This window comes from Homo sapiens, chromosome 3 (assembly GCF_000001405.40).
Source record: "Homo sapiens chromosome 3, GRCh38.p14 Primary Assembly".
Lineage (NCBI taxonomy): Eukaryota > Metazoa > Chordata > Mammalia > Primates > Hominidae > Homo > Homo sapiens.
This window is the reverse complement of record NC_000003.12, coordinates 112,802,264-112,823,603: the sequence shown is the minus strand read 5'-3', so window position 1 is coordinate 112,823,603 and position 21,340 is coordinate 112,802,264. Positions and strand designations below refer to the sequence as shown.

General features: G+C 39.0%; 1 protein-coding gene and 1 long non-coding RNA gene across 5 annotated transcripts in view; one reads left to right on the top strand and one right to left on the bottom strand.

The window, feature by feature from the left end:
• CD200R1L (CD200 receptor 1 like) overlaps positions 1–7,893 on the top strand; it is a 31,154-nt gene extending 23,261 nt beyond the window's left edge. For all 3 annotated transcript variants that reach the window (NM_001008784.4, NM_001199215.3, NM_001370552.3), the window contains 2 exons: positions 3,709–3,832; positions 7,629–7,893. In NM_001008784.4, the coding sequence (NP_001008784.2) occupies positions 3,709–3,832; positions 7,629–7,641 (137 nt within the window). In that variant the 3' untranslated portion in view covers positions 7,642–7,893. The remainder of the gene's footprint in view (positions 1–3,708; positions 3,833–7,628) is intronic.
• On the bottom strand, positions 3,388–21,126 carry CD200R1L-AS1 (CD200R1L antisense RNA 1). Of its 2 annotated transcripts, NR_149026.1 has the most exons (5): positions 20,956–21,126; positions 20,443–20,538; positions 10,785–10,844; positions 8,877–8,941; positions 3,388–3,846 (listed from the first exon to the last, which is right to left on the bottom strand). It is a non-coding gene; the product is annotated as a CD200R1L antisense RNA 1 (long non-coding RNA). The 2 variants fall into 2 exon arrangements; NR_149027.1 differs by lacking the exons at positions 10,785–10,844; positions 20,443–20,538.
• Positions 21,127–21,340: the final 214 nt, after the last annotated feature.

Here is a 21,340-nt window from a genome sequence, read left to right as displayed (position 1 = left end):
CTTGGCACTGTTTTCATTCACAATGCTTCTGACACCAAATGTGTGTGAGTTTTTTTCCCTACACCAACTAATTCTCCAACTCTCTGGACACCACCTAGGTGTCCTACAATTCAATTCAGACACTAACTACCTGGAGTTAGCACAGACCCCACAGGTTAAAGGCTTAGTCTCATAAGACCTTCCTCACTTCAGACACCAGTCACAAGTCCCAGATTGCCACCTGAACTTCTAATCAACTGGCTATAAATTCAGAGAGTTCCCATGATTCCCTTGTCAGGTTTAATAATTTGCTAGAATGGCTCACAGAACTCATGTCAACCTGAAATAATCAAAAGGATCAGAATCCAGTTTAAAAGAGTTTATTTAAGCAAAAGTCTGAGAACAGCCATTCGGGTAACACAGACTCCAAAGGAATGGGGTCAGTGCTTCAAACTTCAAACTTAAGGTCTTGCTTATATAGGCAGAAAACAAATTCAGTAGGATTATACCCTTTTTACATACAAAGCTGGTTTATGAGTTATAATGATTTAATTAAAGTTACAGTTTGTTTTCTTTTCTGTACAGTTTGTTTTCATTTCCTTTCCAATTTTAAGAGTACAGTTAACATTTCATGTTAGGCAATGTGGTAGTCATTGTATGAGAGAAGAAAGAAGGAAGTTAATCAATAATGAAGATCAACAGTTTAGAGGGAATACGTCTTCCCTGGCACCCTTTAATCATTTACAGCAGTTTACAAAACAATGTAGGCAAGGAAAAAGGCTAATGTACAATCAGGTAAACAAAAATTTTGGCTGCCTAGGTCATAGCTGCTTGTTTACATAACTCAGGTCTCATAATCACATTCCGTTAAGGCTCAACATATTTTAAAATTCCAACAGCTTAGATTTTTAAATTTGACACTCAGGAATGCACTTATTTACTATTACTAATTTATTGTAAAGTGTCCAACTCAGGAACAGACAAAAAAAGATAAAAAGAGATGCATAGGGCAAGGTATGGGGGAAGGAGCTTCCGTGATGTCTCTGGGAGTGCCAACCTCCCAGCCCCTCAGTGTGTTCACCAGCTCAGAAAATCTCCCAACCCAGAAGCTCTCCAGACTCTGTCATGTAGAGTTTTTGTGGAGGCTCTATTACATAGGTATGATTGATTAAATTGTTGGGCATTGGTTTTTAGCTTAATCTCTAGCCCCTCTCCCCTCCCAGGAGGTCAATGGAAGGGGAGAGTGGTGGTGTGGGGCTGAAAGTTTCAACCCTCTAACCATGTCTTGGTCTTTCTAATTACCAGCCCCATCCTGAAGCTGTCTTCAGGCTCCCAGCCACCACTCATCTCATTAGCATACAAAAGATGGATCACTGTGGAACTTCCAAGAAGTTTAGGAAAAATCCTTGGAAGTGTGCCAGGAACTGGGGGACAAAGACCAAATACATACATATTGCTTATCATATTACAACCACTTACTTCTGTGACTCTCAGCACAGTGTAAGGTCCTTGAGAGTTGGAACCACTACTTTTATTTTTGTATTCCTAAAGTCTGGCACAGTTGCTGACACATACAAGTCACTGCAGAATTAGGTTCAAATCATTGCAGACTCATCTCTACATATTCCATTCTATGCTCCAAATATGACTTAGGTAAACTCATCTTTAAAACTTTTCTCAAATTAGTTCTTTATCTTGAAAAGTCTTTCTTTTAACCTATTCAATCCCGCAGACCAGCAAGGTCCATTTCAAGTCCTGCTTCTCCCTGACCTCTGTGTTAGAGTTGATTAAACGTTCTGAATTCCTTAGATGATTTATAATCTGTAATGTTCATCCAGCACTGTTTTCTCTCTTGTACATTTAACTAAAAAGTATTGGAGACAGGTCTCAATTAATTTAGAAGTTCATTTTGCCAAGGTTTAGGACAATTTGCACAGATCAAAACAGAACAAAACAAAACAAAACAAAAAAAACACCACAGAATCTCAGAAACAGTCGGTGATCTGTGCCTTTCTCCAAAGATGACTTTGAGGGCTTCAATATTTAAAGGGTAAAAGTGCGCTGGAGGGGAAAGAGGAAGGGTGTGGTAATTCACAAGTTGCAAGAGAAAAGGAGCAATTAGAGGAATAGTCAATTATGATAAGGTGAACACAGAGTAGCTACCTGTGGAGAAATTTATGTTTTATCTGTAGCTATCTGCTTAGGAATAAAAGGAAAGGTAGTTGCTTGCATGACTCAGCTTTCAGCTTAATTTTTCCCATTTGGCATAGTGAATTGGGGTCTTGAGCTTTTATTTTTCTTTCATATAAGTTGTCTTCTCATTTGTATGAGTCTGACTTCTCCAGTTGGATTATAAGATATTTTGAGGACTGTAACCATATCATTTTCTTATTTCCTCACAATGCCTAGGATTGTCTGACATTTTTCTAGTTTAGTGTTTGAGCAGGTTATTTAATGGGATAGAATGACCTCTTGGAGCCAGGAGTCAGACTTGTATTTAGAGTTCACACATTCTTTAGGTGGCCAATTTCTTTTTCTCTTTTTTACTTTACTTTTTTTTTTTTTTTTGAGACAGAGTCTCAATCTGTCACCCAGGCTGGAGTGCAGTGGTGCAATCTCAGCTCACTGCAACCTCTGCCTCCTGGGTTCAAGAGATTTTCCTGCCTCCGCCTCCCGAGTAGCTGAGATTATAGGCCCATGCCACCACGCTCGGCTAATTTTTGTATTTTAGTAGAAACATGGTTTCACCATGTTGGTCAGGCTGGTCTCGAATTCCTGACCTCAGGTGATCCACCCACCTTGGCCTCCCAAAGTGCTGGGATTACAGGTGTGAGCCACCACACCCTGCCTAGGTGGTCAATTTCATAGGATAAGAGACTTCAGATTATGCTTCTGGCTGGGCATGGTGGCTCATGCCGGTAATCCCAGCACTTTGGGAGGCTGAGGCGGGCGGATCACCTGAGGTCAGGAGTTTGAGACCAGCCTGGCCAACATGACGAAACCCCATCTCTCCTAAAAATACAAAAATTAGCCAGGCGTGGTGGTGCATGCCTGTAATCCTAGCTACTCTGGAGGCTGAGGTAGGAGAATCACTTGAACCCAGGAGGTGGAGGTTGCAGTCAGCCGAGATTGCGCCGCTGCACTAGAGCCTGAGAGACAATGCAAGACTCCCTCTCAAAAAATAAAAATAAAAAAAGAATGATGTTCCTAATTAGTTTGATTTATCTTTTCAATAATTCCTAGGGCCATTTCACAGGTAAATAAAAATGAAAGTAGGAAGATATAAAACACCTTGCTAAAGAGGTTACATCAACTTAGTAAGAAAATCACTTCATTGTGTGGAAAGTGTTATCAGCTCAAACCCCAAATATTAAGAGTAATGTTCTTTCAAACGCTAATATTTGCATGGGAAGTTGGAATATACAGGGGAAAGCTTGACATATTGCTTTTCTTATAAAATTGGAAAGTATTAGCAATGCGTAGTGTGCATTTATTTGTTCAGAAAATTTGTCAGAAACCTACGATGTACAAAACACAAACATGGTTCCTAAACTCTGTCATGAAAGAATGGTATATTAGTAACATTTGAGTCATAATTTAGAAGGTTTTATGATTATGACAGTCCATGAACTCTTAAGAATATTTTAAAATGTTCTTTAAAATGATTGACTCTAATTTGTAACTAGAAGAATGCTTGAAATGATTTTTCACCCCTGTCTGTATTTAAAGGTCTCAGAACCTCAGGATCTCCAGCGTTGTCCTTACTGATCATTCTTTATGTGAAACTCTCTCTTTTTGTGGTCATTCTGGTCACCACAGGATTTGTTTTCTTCCAGAGGATAAATCATGTCAGGTAGGAACTGAAGACTGAAAAGCATAAGACACAGTAGAAAAAAAAAAGTATCATTGTAACATTTTGAGTTTACAATGTACTGGGAAAAGCTTGACACTTTTTTGGTATGTTGTATTCTCCCTCCAGCCCCTTCTTTAATGTGAAGGCATCATTAACAACTGAGAGCCCAGGCAGATGTGCCTGCAGCACTGGGGCAAGAACTTCATTGTGAAAGTGCTTCATTGTGGTTTTAGTCTAGGAGAGAAGTGGCCTAGTCCACATCTTCAGAATTTGGTGGGAGAAAGTTTCTGGGGCTTCTCAAGTGTTTACTTTCAAATTTCTTTGTAAAGGGCTTGTGTTCATTCCTGCTTAATTATATATTTTATGGGCTTTTTTCCTAAAGAATGAAAATCGAAAGAGCTGGATGTCAATTTATATTTGATGAGACATCACAAAAAAAGCAGCCATTTGCAATAAGCCTTTGGGTTCAAAGTCTAGCTTAACTTCTTTTGCGACTTGATGTGATAGTTACTAACATGGTTTGGTGCTGTGTCCCCACCCAAATTTCATCTCAAATTGTAATCCCCACGTGTTGAGGGAGGGACTTGGTGTAGGTGATTGGATCATGGGAGTGGTTTCCCCCATGATGTTCTTGTGATAGTTAGGGAGTTCTCACAATAGCTGATGGTTTTATAAGTGGCAGTTTCCCCTGCTCACTCTCCAGTCTGCTGCCATGTAAGACATGCCTTGCTTCCCCTTCGCCTTCTGCCATGATTGTAAGTTTCTTGAGGCCTCCTAAGCCATGTGGAACTGTGAGTCAGTTAAAAGTCTTTTCTTCGTAAATTACCCGGTCTCAGTCTCTGGGAATTCTTTACAGCAGTGTGAAGACAGACTAATACAGTTACCAAGATCTGTTTCAGACTCTTAGCATACAGTGTAAGTACACATGCAAAAGCTTCGTGCCTGCCATCATAAATGCCTAGGATACTTTATCTACTTTCCCATTTTCCTTGGTAAATTTTTATTTGCAAATGTGAAACAACTGCTTTTCAAAATAAAGAGGAAGATAGCTCAGCAAAAGGCAAATAATGATGCTGGGCAGTTTTTATACACCCTTTGGGTGCTTTAAATGGTGCTTTCCTCACAGCTTCCTGGCTCCTCTACACACCCAAATTGCTAATCAATGCTGCAATGGCAGGAGCCACTGGAAGCACTGTCTGCAAGTCAGCTAGTAGCTGACCTTCCATCCATTACTTGCTTGCTAGCAATTAGTGGAGCAGTAGTATTGCATGTTTGGACTGATTATTGAGTAAATGGCTGAGTCATTTTTAGCAGTATTTGCATTTTAGCAGAAATTGTAAGTTGATCTCAACTAAGGAAATGTCAGTGTCATTGAAGATGACTCTGAAGTTCCCCTTACTTTTTAGAGTTCTAATGTCTCAATTCCCTTTCTTGTTTACACTTTAGGTTGTAGCCGTTGGATGGATTAATGATGCTAAGAGTAAGACACTGGTGAAATCCTTGTATCTTCTAGGGCCACTGTAAACTGAGATCCTATATTCACTTGATACAGATGGTAATCCTATAGTAAAAAGTGATTTTTTATTTAAAAGAAGACTTTTCTTATTTAAAGTAGCAAGTTGATATGTTTTGGCTGTGTCCCCACAAAAATCTCAACTTGAATTGTATCTCCCAGAATTCTCACGTGTTGTGGGAGGGACCCAGAGGGAAGTAATTGAATCATGAGGGCTGGTCTTTCCCGTGCTATTCTCATGATAGTGATAGGTTTATCTCAAGATCTGATAGGTTTATCAAGGGTTTCTGCTTTTGCTCTTCCTCATTTTCTCTTGCTGCCACCATGTAAAAAGTGACTTTCACCTACCCCCATGATTCTGGGGCCTCCCCAGCCATGTGGAACTGTAAGTCCAATTAAACCTCTTTTTGTTCCAAGTTTTCGGTATGTCTTTATCAGCAGCATGAAAACAAACTGGTGATTTGGCCTATTACTTTTATTTTTAGCAAAGCCCTAAGGGAAAAAATGAATGCATAAATTGGATGATATTATATGCATATGGTTATTTAATTGCTGAAACAAACAGGCCCTACATCTCAGTGTATTCACACCACAAAAATTTAATTCTTGCTCACATCACACTCTAGTGCAGTTGGTGGGGCTGAGGCAGGGCAGAGAAGAGAGGTGTTGCTTTAAGCTGTCACTTTATCTTATGGCTCTGCCCTTCTCAGAATATTTTCTAGTTCAGCTGGTGAATAGGAAACAGGGAGACAGAATAGAGGATGTTATGTGGGAGGTGTTTATGGGCCAGGCCTGGAGTAGTAATCACTTCTGCTCACATTCCATTGGTTAGTTCTTAGTAGCATAGCTATATTAACATCCACAGAGGTTGGAAAATGTAGTCTAGCTGCCTTGGAAGAAAAGGAATCAGGTTCACTGCAACATCTAGCCCAGTCTCTGCCCATAATAAAGAATAGAACAAATACTAAGATTAACACTTACCTTTTTGTAATTGAACATAAGTAAAAAATAACTAAATTAGTAAATTATATATATACTATATATAATATGATGTAAGCTGTTGTGTGCCTTTCTTTTTTATTATAATTCCCTTATGTTTAAGACAGGGCATAGAATGGGAATCAGTCCATTAATACAATTTTATAACAGACTAAAAAAATACTACACTGCGGCAGAGATTGCTTGTTACCTGGTTGTATTAGTCTGTTCTCATGCTGCTAATAAAGTCATATCCAAGACTGGGTAATTTATAAAGGAAAAGGTTTAATTGACTCACAGTTCCACATGGCTGGGGAGGCCTCATAATCATGGTGTAAGGCAAGGAGGAGTAAAGCTACGTCTTACATGGTGACAGGCAAAGAGAGAGTGTGTGCAAGGGAACTCCTGCTTATAAAACCATCAGAACTCATGACACTTATTCACTACCATGAGAACAGCATGGGAAAGACCTGCTCCCATGATTCAATTACCGCTCACCAGGTCCCTCCCATATGGGAGCTACAATTGGAATTGATTTCCATTGATTATGGAATTGATTATGGGAGCTACAATATGGAATTGATTTCCATAACACATGGGAATTATGGGAGCTACAATTCAAGATGAAATTTGGGTGAGGACACAGCCAAGCCATATCACTGGTCCAATGCTCATCCTCCCCTTTCTCCTTGTGGCAGATGAGTATATCCATGACTCTAAATCTTCACCTCTCCGTCTATCCATGTAATTTTTCAGTTGACTTTAGAGTTCTTTCCATACAGAGAGTACATATTTATCCATCCTATGCAGTTTGCTTTGGCCAACAAAATGAGGTGGAAGTGTTAATGTATCTGTTTTGAGCACAGGTCTCAAGAAGTTCTGTTCTACTCGTTACTCCATGAGAACATGCCTGGCCTATCCAGATGGAGGATGAGAACCATGTAGATCAGAGCTGTGTCCCCTCAGTCCCATCCCTACCTCTCTGTTGAGGCCAACCTAGAAGATGCAATAGTCAGCCATCCCCTAAACATATGAGTAAGCTCAGTCAAGATGAGAAGACCTGACCTCCACTTGATCCCAGGCATATAAGCAATTGTTGCCACAGAGGTTTTATGGTTGTTTGTTATACAGCATTCCTGGTGTCTTAGGTAATTGACACATTGATTAATAGCATAACTCCAATTTAATTTATTATTGGAATGTACTTAGCTAAAAGGCATTTCTCAGTTTCCTTTGCTGAGTATGCCCACTTGCATAAGCTCTGGAAAATGAGATATAAATACAAATCTTGTGTAATACTTTCAGAAAAGTTCTTTAAAGAAGAAGGAAGGGTCTTCTTTTGCTTCTCCTCCTTGTCTCTGGACTGCAACATTGGTGAGATGAGTGATGGTCCAGCAGTGAACTTGGGCCATGGATGATGTTAAGGATAGAAGCCACTCAGTAGGATAGAAGAAAAGAAAGATGGAAGAAGGATCCTGGGCTTGATGACCATGAAGTTTCCCTATAAACCCTCAACCACCTATTCATTGACTTCTTTTGTGTTAGAGTGAATAAAATTTTGTTCATGCCAGTGTTATTTTTGGTTTTACTCTACACGCAGCTAAACTTAATACTAATTGATACAAATACCTAGTTTGTTAATCTGAAGGTTTGTGTCAATCTTGCTACAAATTATTTTCTACTCATATCCATTTTCATGTCCAATTTTTGTTCTTCCCCTAGTGACAATGAAACAGATGTTCCTACTCATGTGCAATTGTTATGGTCTATTTTCATTCTGCCCATAGAGGTAATGAAAAGATGTAACTTCAGAAGATAGGAATCATAGATATGAATGTTATCTCTATGACAGTTCAAGAAAAATTGTTGGTTATATAAATGCAAGGGATGCTCTGGGCTTGTTGTGGGAAGGGGCTTGAGAACTTGGAGATACATAAAAATGATCTAATAGCCAATCCCTAGATGTGTGAGAACATGTCTACATTATGGGATTCAGAAGGAAGATAAAGATACCGTTATGGGCTTTTAGAGAGAATGTGAGTAGGAGAAACAGGAGAACTGAAATCTATGAAATTTTATTTGTATTAAATTTGTATTAATTCTTTTTTCCACTGGATGAACTTTATTGTTTCTAGAAGAGATTTATGTGAATTCACGTAATTTCTTTATCCCATTCTCACTGCCATGATTAGATTGAAAGAGTAAAAAGCTACAGCTACTACCCCCATCCTCCCACTGCTATATAAAGATAAAAAAAACTCCACTTTTTTTTTCTGAACCCTCTCATGTGTTCATATAGAGCTGACCTTTGAACAACATGGGGGTTAAGGGTGCTAACTCCCCATGCAGTGGAAAACTTGCATATAACTTTTGACTCCCCCAAAACGTTAACTACTAATAGCCTACTGTTGACCAGAAGCCTTACTGATAACATAAACAGTGATTTATATATAGTTTGTACGTTATATGTATTGTTTACTGTATTCTTACAATAAAGAAAGCTAGAGAAAAGAAAATATTAAGAAAATCATTAGGAAGAGAAAATGTATGTACTATTTATTAAGCGGAAGTAAATCATCATAAAGGTCTTCATCCTTGTTGTCTTCACATTGAGTAGACTGAAGAGGAGGAGGAAGTAGAGAGGTTGGTTTTGCTGTCTCAGGGGACGCAGAAGTGGAAGAAATCCACATATAAGTAGATCTGTGCACTTTCAACTTGCTGTTCCAGGGTCAATGATATACATGCCCAACAAATTAACTGTGGTCCTAAATACAGGGAGACTGGGAGCAATTTTTAGCAGAACACAATTGAGAGCCACTAGATGGTGCTTCAACTTAAGTCTCTTAACATTTCGAAGCAAGCTAAGACCTACTAACCTTAAGCAATGTAATCCTGCATTAAAAAAAATTTTTTTCCATACTTCTCCATTTACAAATTCTTTAGGTCTTCTTGGGTGGTTTTGGAACAATTACAGAAGGAGAATAAAATGGTTTAACTTGAAATTAAGGGGAAAAAAATCTTTTTGGTTCCTAAACTTGAATTGTACTACCCTTTTCATTTAATGTTAGTAAAAAACATTTTGTTTACCAAACAAGATAAAGGGATATTAATAGATTCACTTCGGGGAATGGGGAAATGTGAGGATATTTTAGTGGTTAAACCAAGATTAGTACTTGTTTCTTAAACTAGAGAGTTGAGATCACCCAGTCATAAAATGCAAATAGCTGCTTGCTCATGTTAATAGCAGCAGATGGTTAGAGCTACAGATGAAATTAAGTGGCCTTCTTCACTTCCTAGATCCTCCTCCATATCTCCTCCCCCATCATCTTTTAGAGGCATGTGTGGTATTCTAAAGTTAAAAGGAAGCTACGGATAATTGAGGTCAACTTCCTCATTTTGAAAAAGAGGAAACTGAGACTCTCAGAGTTAAGTGAACATGGAGTGTTACTAAGAAGCCAGCTGGCCTACTTGGCTTGTTGCTGAGAGGAAGGCAGCCACCCTAAGGCCACAGTCAGACATGGCACAACTAGGGGAAGAGGGCTGACCATCTCTTTCTTGGTCCCCATCTTACTAATGAGGACTGAGAGCCCTTCACAAGCTTTCCCTCCTGTCTGATTGGCCAAGACTGTATGACAATTCTTTAGCCAATCCCTGGCAAAGGGACTGAGATTTTGCTTATGTTGATTAGTCCTTTCATGCAGATGGGACTAAGATCAACACCTTTCTTCAGACACACATCTTGTGGGAGAGGAGTGAGTGGGACTTGAACAAAATTGGGGCTTTGTTAAGAAGGAGAAATGAAGTATGTGTGTGAAGCCTTGATGAGGGGGATGATAGTAGTCAAACTTAATTTTAGAAGGCACATAAGAACATTGAAGGTGGACGCAGGCAGGGAAGAAAGGCATGCTGGGAAGAGAGGACAGCATGGATGAAGGCAAAGTAGTGTAACAGGGTGTGTCTCTTTCAGGGCAATGGGGAAATTGTCCATATCATCTCCTCACACAAACTCTACATTTCATGAGGTCATCTGAGGACAGAAGACTGCTATTAAGAATGCCAGGAGAGTTTTGCAGGACAAGCAAATCTTGATCAATTTACAATGTTTTCTGAACAGAATGTCCAAATATTCTGACTGATTCACCCAACATTGATTTTAAGATTAAATAAGGAGCCAAGAACATTGGTTTATACAAAGTAGAGAACCAAAGAGAGGCTGGGGAGAGGCAGTGAGTCTGACAGACGATGTCTCTAATCTCAGAAGGGTGGGACTTGGTTTCTGAGCTGGGTAAAGCTGGCAGAGTAGAGACAATTCTCCTTATTCTGGTTTTTCTTGATAAAACATGAAAATTATTCTTGCTCTTAACCCAGTTGAAGAGAGGGCTTGGGGAATAATCTTTATACATTTCTAAATGTCCTTGTGAAAAGTGTCATAGAAACCCAAAGTCTTATTATCCATCCTACCTGTTTCCAAATGCTCCTCATGCACACATTGGTGTGTTCCTCCCTAGAATGTCTCTTCTCCTTAAGACATGGGGGGCCAACACACAGATAAAACATTTTTAGTTGTGACTTCTTCAGTTTGAAGCTCCCACATGTTGAGGAGGGAGCTCTTCAGAGTATAATAGTCACCAGGGAGGAAAGAAATAAGCATCTCTGCACAGGGGAAGGAGGTCATGGGGCTAATCAAGAGAATTTGTAAATATGACAGGAGGGTGACAAAAAACATTCACAGGCTCACATTCAGAAAAAGTAAATTTAACAAGATAACACTAAAACAAGAGGAATCGTGAAGTTCAACCAAATGTTATGACTTTTAAGGGAAAACAATATGAATATCTTTCCAAATCACTGTCATGATTTGCCTGTTCCTAAGCATGCCATCCTCCTGGGAAACAGGTTGTATGTGATTATGAGACTAATCGTTTACTCTTGTTTCTTAACATAATAAAAATGCCTGACTACATCAAAACTTTTCAGTTTCTCCTTAATGTTATCTTTCTGAAAACAGACAGCAAGAGACCTGCTGAGGAGGGCAGTCTGTGGCTAAGATGAGAGTTTACTATACTTCTGAAGGACATTTTATCTACCATGCTGCTTCCTGGGTGCTGTGAGGCCACAGAACCTGGAGAGGAAGCAGGTCTCCTCTGTCGTGGGCACTGCGTGGTCAGGTCATGCTGTTGAGAAGATTAATCTCAGATGTTACTGCCGAGCCTTGGAATGGACATAAACACTTCCGCGGACCTGAGTGAAGCCGTGTGGGAGACAGGAGCCAGACCAGGTCTTTTGTGTGTGTGTCTCACTGCAGAGCTTACAGTTTATTTGCAATTCCTGCACTCCCAACTTTAAGGCTTTTTGCTGAGGACACCATCTGCGACATAACACCTTCAAAAAAACTCTCCCACAAACTTTCCCATATTCCATGTAATGGAAAATTGCAACACAATTTACAAGACATTGAAAACCAAGGAGTGGCCCAAGATGTCAGCTCCAAGAAGCTACAGTAAATGTCTTGGGACCAGAAAGAATGATTAAGCAACTGGCATTCCAGCAAGAAGCATCTGTCTTTTGTCACTCTCCCCAAAGCAACATATAAATGTGCAGAGGAAGGCTGCTATTTCAGTAGGGGCAAAGGAGGTCAGCTGTTTGTAACATTTTCCATCATTCTCTCACAACTAAAACCCAAATCCCATTACTTTCCAACTGCCTATCAGGAGAGGGTGTTTGCTGATGCAGCCCAAGGGTGCCTAATCGCTATCCCCAGTAACCCATGGCAGCCCTTGCATCCTGGAGGATGATTAAATGGCAGATCCTAGGGAGGAGTTGGATGTGAAACCTTAGCCCTATGCCAAACTGGGCTTAGGTTTTTACTTTTTTTTTTTTTTTTTTTTTTTTTGCTTTTTTTTAAGATTTCTATCCAAAACATGCTTTCCTTGGCAGCCTCCCCAGAGGACTGTGAAGTCATAGGGCATAAATTATCCAACTCTTACCTCTGCAGGATGGTAAAACAGATTTAAGAAGACTTGCAAATTGCAGCTGTTCTTGGGCAAGGGCTCTGGCCAGGTCGAAACCAGCAGATCCACCGGTAGTGCACACACATACACACAGGCTGTGTGACAATCCATCTTCAGCTGCCATCGAACACTAGAGCAAGGCTATCTGTGTTCACCCAATCACTCCAGCTTTGTGCTTAACTTCTCACAGTTAATTGTTCTTTTCTTTAATGACTACTTTTCAAAAAGACTAGGAAGTGTGGAATTTATCAGTATTTCTTATTAATGGGTAAAAGATTAAATAGTTGCATCCTACCTTTTCAGTCTATTCTCTGCCACACTCCTTTTATTCCTAACCACACACCCACTGTCCAGCTTTCTTAGAAATTTCTCTCTATCCTTTCCTTACTGCATATTCTGCCTTGGCTTGTGCTGTTTCTTCTAAGATGAAGGTCTTTACCCTCACCCGTATCTTACAAAAGGCTGTTTTCTCTTCAGAGCTACTGCATCTGTGAAAAATTCCTCGGTGCCTGGTTCTGACTTAGGCATTGCTCTACCATAGCAATTCTTTTTATGGTATTTTCTGGATGATCAAGGCCCTAGGCTTTACAGGTATTTGTTTTCATGTGTCTCCACCACTAAGTTGTGAGATTCATGAGGGCAGACAACATATCTCATTTACTTTGCTGTCTTTCAAACTGCCTAGCACGATGTCTTATATATAGGGAATACTTAACAAACATACACTGAATTTGAATTTAAAAACTCAAGAACTGAGAAATATATGACCACTAAAGGGATACATGGATACATTCAGCACATGAATAAATAAAGTTCTATATGACAAAGAATTAGATACAATATTTGCAACATATGTAAGACAAATTGAATACGTGAATGCCAACAAATCCAAAGAAAAAGACAGAAAATCCCATAAACACATGGGCAAAGGAAATAAAATGTCATTTTACAAGATAGGAAAAATGAATGTTTAATAAACGTATGAAGTGATATTCAAACTAAAGAGTAATAAGAGAAGTGCTAATTAAAAATAGCTGAGATATCATTTTTTCATATATCACATTGGTAAAATTAATAATTTTGATAGTATTAACTATTAAAAGAGGTGTAGGGAACATGCAGTTTCTGATGGGAGTGCAAGTTAACACATCCATTTCAGAGAGCAGTTTGCCAATATGACCTAGTAATTCCACTTTTCAGTGTCTACTCAAAGTACTACTATTTGTGTGCACGAGGAGGTAAATATTACAACATGACTTGTAATAGCCAAAAAAAATGGGAAATAAACCTTACTATCCTTTTTTAGGGAAATGTGATGCTATGAAACAGTGAAAAGCAATGATTTTGCCTCAGCAGAGTGGCCTTCTCTGACTGAAATGCCACTCCTGCCTATATCCTTTCACCCACTTTCTTTGTCTTCATAGCACATATCACTTCATGTTATTATATTAGTTATGCACATGCTTATTTGGCTATTATCTTTCTCCCTCTCTAAAACGTAAGACTGATGAGAATAGAGATGTAGCCCGTTTCTCCAGTGGCATATAGGGAGCCCCCAGTAGATATTGCCTGGTGTACTATAGGGACTCAATAAATTGTTATTGAATGAATAATGTTGAACTACATATAACAACATAGAAAACTCACCAAGGCATATTGATAAGAAGAAAAAGAAGTTTACAGAATAATTCATATAGGATGATATAATTCATGTAGAATAAGTACAAAATGATTTCTTTTTGTAATATTATCCTAATAATTTCACTGTCTCCTCGTTCCCTCCTGTTTCTAACGTGGCTATTCTAGACGCATTACCTCAGCAGAAAGATGTAAGTGGACAAAAGGTGGAAATATCACCTACATGTCTCTTCCTACCTCTGCTTTTTAAAAGCATCCAAGCTTTAGGGGAACAGAGGGATTTCTGAGTCTTCTCTCCCATCCTACCCCCGAGCCTAAAAAGCAAAACAAAACAAAAATTCTTTGAACTGAGAGGACAGGACAAATGGAGCAAGCAATGGGACTGTGGATTCCTTTGAGTGAAGCTATCTCTCCCAGGCAGTACCCAGAAGGTGAAAGACCCCAAAGGGAGTTTTAGCAGCTAAGAACCTGGATGGCACTGCAGGAATTCTCTTGCTATAATAGCACTACAGATAGAAGACTGATTTTTAATCTTCCAGCCTTAATGTGGCAAAGGTAGTCTCCAGTTCTAAACAGCTGAAAAGATGGGAACAAGAGTTTTCTTCCTAAATGCCTATGGCGCAGATGATTTAGAGGACCAGATACTTTTCTAACCATTACCAAGTTTAGATGCAACCATGATGGAAGGGAGAATAGAAGGGGTTGATGGACTAGGAGTAATTTTTTCATGAAGCTAGAATACATCCTCTAAATATTAATAATTTTTCTTACAAATCAGAGTTGAGGCCAGGCTTTTACACCTGTATGTATGTAGTTTAATATGAACCTGGAAAAATGTCTGGAAGGTTGCAAGCATTGACAGTGGGTGGTGGTGAAGAGGGGCTTGCTCTGTAATGTTTGAATTTTGTACCAAGAATGTATTCATGCATTCTGTGTTATTAAGAATAAATATTTCCAAAAAATGAAAAGTAAAACAATCCAACATACTTTCTTGCCAAAAGGTAGAGTAACAGTTGCAGGGGTTGCTAAGGCCATGGAGAGGGACTGAGGTTAGAGCTGACAGGCTATTAAGAGTAGATCCAAATGAGGCTGGGATGCAGCTGGCCAAATACTGTTTGCAAAAAGCTGTGATTCTGCCCTTTTGTTTCTTCTTCCTGTAGTATTTCTCTGGCCTGCCTACAGATCTGTTTAGCAGCCTAAATATCAAAATTTATGAGAATTTTGTAACTCAAAAATTAATCAAAGGCATATGAGGAGAAAGATGAAACATTAAATTCAAGTTCTGTCATGGCTATGCCTTCTTAATTATTTGGGAAAACGATATAAAAATCTGATATTTATGACCATCTCAGACTTTTATAGCTGGTTTCAATTCCAAGCGTGTTAAATTGTGTGCAAGTTAAATTTTATTTCCTAAGTGTCATTGCTCTAACTAGTATTCACTTAAAATTAATTTGTTTTTCATATCTTGTTGCCTGCTGTTCTTGAAGCTCATAAAAGGTTTGAAATTATTTTTGGTAAGTTAATACAAATTTAAATGTAAAGCTACTGAAGGAAAATAACTTGGACTTTGTAAAACATTTCATTCTTAAATCACCAGTGCATGAGGATCTCAGACTCTAGGTGTACTGATGCTTATCTCTAATGGTTTCTCTTAGAGATGGTGCCTTTTAACCTTTATTTTTCCATATTGCGATTCAGCTTCTTCCTGTCAATTAACTTGTGCTTTTGAAGACAGATTCAATTGGCCAGAATGAGGTCATCCTCTCTCTTAGGTAGTTACTGTTGACAACAGTCGTTTGATGTGTTTGATTCTTCTATTGTGACTTCGATTGCACCCATCATGATGTAGTATGCACACAGAAGATGCTGATTTAAGCACAAAACACATTTATTAAGGAATATAAGGTAGCTCATGGAATCTCCGTGGTTGTAGCTTACTCTACTGTCACTATGGCCACTGGGCATTGGACACTGCTCCACCTCTCATTGTCCACCTGTTTGCATCACTAGCTCTTGCTTGATTCAAGATCCTAGGCTGGCAAGTGCACATCTTGCCTTTTCTGGGTCCAGGATGAAAGAAAATGCTCAGCCTCTCACCAAGACCCAGAAGGTAGAGAATTCATAAACAGTGAAGGGGAGTTCAAAGGCCAAGAGGGTCTTAAAAACTCACTATTGTCTATCACAATGATTAAAGTGGAATCTTTTTGCACCTACAGACCCTGAGAGGCTTATAAAACACTGGCTCGCTTAATATTGGGTTTTAAATTTCTACCTAAATGTATTAGTTTTATATTGCTGCATAACAAATTAACTAAAAATTTAGCAGCTTAAAATAAAAGTACGCATTATTTCACACAGGTTCTATGGGTCAGGAATTCAGTGACAGCTTAGCTGTTTGGTTCTGGTTCGAGCTCTCATGACACGGCAGTCAAAATGTCAGCTGGGGCTGCAGTCATCTGAAAGCTCGATTTGGGTTTCAGGATTCACTTCAAAGACGGCTTATTCATGTGCTGACTGTAGATGACTAGGGTTGGCAGAAACTTCTGTTCCTTGCCACATAGACCTCTCCATAGGGCTGTTTGAATGCTCTCATGGGGCTCTCATGATGTGGAAGCTGTCAGTGATCCAAGAGAGAGGAAAGTAGAAGCTGCAATGTTTTTTTAAATGACATTTCAACCAGGTGCAGTGGCTTATGCCTATAATCCCAGCACTTTGGGAGGCTGAGCCAGGAGGATTGCTTGAGCCCAAGAGTTTGAAACCAGCCTGGGCAATATAGTGAGACCTCATCTCTATAAAAATTAAAAAAGAAAAATTATCCGGGCATGGTGGTGCATGCCTATAGGCCTGGCTACTCAGGAGGCTGAGGTGGGAAGATCGCTTGAGCCCAGGAGGCAGAGGCTGCAGTGAGCCGAGATTGTGCCACTGCACTCCAGCCTGGGTGACAAAGTGAGACACTATCTCAAAAAAAACAACAACAACAACAACAACAACAACAAAAAACACGCCATTTCTATTTCTGTACAGTATTCTACTGGTAACACAAGTCATTCCTAATCAGTGTAGAAAAGAATTACATTGGGGCATGAACACCAGGAGGAGAGGATCACTGGAAGCTGGCAGACTTAAGCCAAAGCAAAAGAGAAATTTGTGAATTATCTAGTTCATTTCACAAAGGTAGTGGATTCAAATGGATCCACTACCCATGTGACTCTGGGATATATAGACACAAAGGAGGTTATCATAATCACTTGATTTGAAGCCCAAAAGCTTTGTTGAATCCATTAAATTATAATGATTAAACAAAACCCAGAAATTCAAATGTGTCACAAAAAGAGTCAAGAATTTTTTTTAACTAAGGCCAATTTGGAATTTCTTTATTGAAAGATACTTTCTGATCCTCTTCCAAAAATTGTCAGAATAAAATGAGAAATTAGAAAATTAAGAAGATTTGCTCTTTTTGAGCATCATTTGGCTGCTCGGAAAGTTTTTAAAGTATTTTAAAGTATTAGATTCTTTTCATCTAGAATTGTGTTTCATCATGCAGTTTTAGACAATGATGCTTAAAAGATAAAGATCATTGTTTTGCATGCTTTAGGACAAGTCTTAGTCTTTTTCTTGTTTAATCTCATGAGTTTAACTCAGTTTCTTCTCATTCTGCTGCTGCTCTCACAAGATCAACTGAGAAATGGAGAGAAATTTGACAGGGTTCTCTTTCTTGGCTGTAAGTAAAATTATTTGTATATATGCCTGTCTTAGTCTGTTTGGGCTGCTATAACTGCTATAACAGAATACCATAAACTGTGTGGCTATAAACAACAGAAACTTATTTCTCACAGTTCTGAGGGCTGGGAAGCCCAAGAGCAAGAATCCAGCAGGTTCAGTGTCTGAGGGCTTGCTTCCTGGTTCATGAGCAGCCATCTTCTTGCTGTGTCCTCTCCAGGAGAAGGGGCAATGGGGCTCTACAGAGTCTCTTTTATAAGAGACTCTGCTTTCATAACCTAGTCACCTCCCAAAGGCACTACCTCCTAATACTATCACAATGGAGGTTAGGATTTCAACACATGAATTTTAGGGGGACACAAAGAGCCTACAGCATGTGTCTCTTTGGGTTTAAATAAATAACATCACATTTAAGATGAAAAGAAGAAAAGAAAGAAAATCCGTTCCAATAACTAAATTCTTCGGGGCAGAGACAATGGTTTACCGTCTGATGTGAGAGGCGTTCTAGTCCAGGAAAAGCTGAGGAATTTGCTGAGTTCAATCGTATATCAATCATTTCAGCACTGCAAATGGGCTACAAACTAAGGGTGGAGGCAAGACATAGTAGAAGGTCCTGTGAAATTTGATAGTTACAGAGTTATAAGGAGATCCCTTTGAACCAAGAGGAACATTTAGCTGGAACCTCTGCCAGCTGTATGCTGGAGCTAGCTCTTGATAGGTTGAAAGATTTATTATTAAATATTCAGGATATTTGTAAGCTGATCATTAAACCATTGGTAGCTGGAAGTAGGACATAGTAAGAATACTTACACCACACTGCAAATCAGGGTTCCCTTTTTACCCATCACAATAAAGAAGCAACTAATCAACATATCACAGGACCTGTAGGAGGTATATGATGGGGATGTCTTAGAAGATGGTCCTATGATCTACAGTTTACAACAACCTAGTGGTGCGAGTAGTGGTGGAGAAAGCTGAACATCACTGGAGACAAAGCTGGCTCGGCCAACTGAAGGCAATGCTCACAGGACAGAGAAAATTAGTCCAGGGAGAAATTCAGGGATTAAAGCCAAGAACACTTTTTTTAAAAGTAAGAAAGATGACCACAGACCGGAGTTGGATGGTATATAGCATAAAAAGCAATTTGGGATTTAAAAAGGAGACTGGAGCCAATACTTATAGAGGCATCTGCTTCACATACCTTAATCATTTTATCAATCTGCTGAGGCAGGTAGGTGTTAACGTTTAATCTATTTTACAGTCAAGAACATTGAAACTCCAATATTAAGTGGTGGAGACAAGATCCTAACTCAGATTGTTCCACAACATCATTATCTCTTACATCTTATTTTTGTAGAAAGTAGAAAAGGGGAAGAAAGAACAAGAGGAAGAAAAGAAGAAGAAGAAGAAGAAGAAGGAGAAGGAGAAGGAGAAGGAGAAGGAGAAGGAGAAGGAGAAGGAGAAGAAGAAGAAGAAGAAGAAGAAGAAGAAAGAAGAAAGAAGAAGAAGAAGAAGAAGAAGAAGAAGAGGAAGGAGACATAGTAGTGGAGTTGTTCTAGGACCAGAAATCTCCAGAAGGAGCAGGAAAGTGTCTGCAAAATTAGTGAAGAATGACATAAAATTCACTGGAGGAATATCTGAGAAGAAGGAAACTTCTTCACCCAAAGAGGAAGACAGGGTGACCTAAGAAATGGGTCTCGTAACTAAGTTTCTGCTGCAGAGTCAGGAAAGTGTGTGTGCAGATAGGAGAACTGCAGTCTCAGAGGGAACAAAGGAACATTTTTATAAATTAGACCAAAGCTATCATGTATAGTTGAGAGGTCCATACAGCTATTCTACATTCCTGCTGAAGGGCCTGAAGAAAATTGGTAGGGATTTTTCACTGGCTTGAGACTGACTGAAGGGAAAGTGTGCTCCCCTTCAACTTCACCTTACTCCTATTACCTTTTTTGGGACCTCCAGTTCTTCAATCTGGTACTCTTTGAGCATGAAGAACGAGCATTGAGGAATGATATTATGTACTCCTGGAGGGCAGGAGGTTGGCCTTCTTATCTGGTATGTTTCTTAACAGCATGACATATTGGATGAACAAAAATTACGTTTAAAATAAATATGTTGAACAGACAACTAAAGTCTCTTCTAAAAATAAAATTGGCTTCAGGTTCTATAGTTCTACCTCTGTGGTCTCATTGCACAAACATATGTTTTAGATCTTAGGCTATTAAAGACATCTGTCCTGACCTATTATTTATAACCAATGGAAATGAAAAATGCAACCCAAAAGCTTAAAGAATTTGCCTGAGGACTATAAATGGAGCACATGCAAGCTGTTAGATGGCCAAGTTGAGGACCCAGAAATAAGCACCAATTATTCAATCAGACGATGTGGTTCATGACCCCATAGGGGACTCTTTCCTTCCTGCTGTGTAACTCAAAGGATCTGAGACTGTGGGCCCAGACTAAGTCAGAACTTCAAGTGTTGTTTTCTTCTTGTTTTCATTCTGGCTCAAAATCCAGAGGATGTTGAAGCATGGGCAGCCTCCTATCTCTCTCTTTCCAGGAGTAGCTACAACTCTTTTGAAGTTTGTGATGCAGGTTAAACTGTTCTGTTCCTTTGCCTAGGCAAAGAAAAGTACTATCAGGTGAAATGAGATAGCTGTTGAAATTCAGTATTCACATGTTTCCTAGCTCAGAATGCTGAAAAATAAAGTATGAAAGATTCCAATCAAAGGAAGAGATTGAATCACCTTCTGTTCCAGATGGGGCCTCACAATAGTTACAACTGCTTGTTCTGGACACATTTGTCCATCCTCGCTTACAGATGCAGCACCATCCATGAAATGCTTGAGACATCCAGGAGGTGGGCAGTGGATAAACAGAATATATTCATTATTGTAACTGAGAATGCTTTTATTCCCCCTGTCTCTCCCACAGAGTTGGTATAAACATATAAAAGACTCTTGAGTTTGAACTCGTATGTGCCCAGTCTCAACTTTAACAATTTATTTCCCTTTATTTCATAATTAAAAAACTGAAAAAAACTAAAGGTCTGACAATGGTTCTAAATTTTTTTCCTCTTTCAGGACAGTGATAGGGAAAAAAACCCACTAGAATTTGTTAATGAAATACTGCCATTATAGAAACCTAACTGACCAAAAACCAGAAGATCTGTGTTCTAATGCTAGGTTTTAGGTACTTAGCTTTCCCACACCTTAATTTACTCATCTGTAAAAGGAGGAGTTTAGATTAGATAATCTTACCTAAGTTACTTCTCCTCTAAGATCCTATGTTTCTGTGGCATCTGGGTATAACTGCAGAACTTTAGAAGAAAAGTCTGGACCCAAAGGTAGGGGTTTTAGATCTGACTTTGTACATTTTGTGGTTTTATTTCCTCATTTCTAAGAAATGGAGATTAGTGTCTATCATTTGGTGACAAGTGTAATGTGAGATTAGATATTTCCTTGTGTAAGTAATTTGCAAGTAAAATGGTCTATACAGATGGAAAAAAGTCCCCTTCCCAAGATATTAAAGCATATTAAAAAGCTAGAGTAATTAAGCAAATGTGGCATCTATGCAGGAAAATGCAAATAGATTCAAAGAATAAAGTCTAGAGAAGACTTATGTATATATTGACAGGTAGTTTAT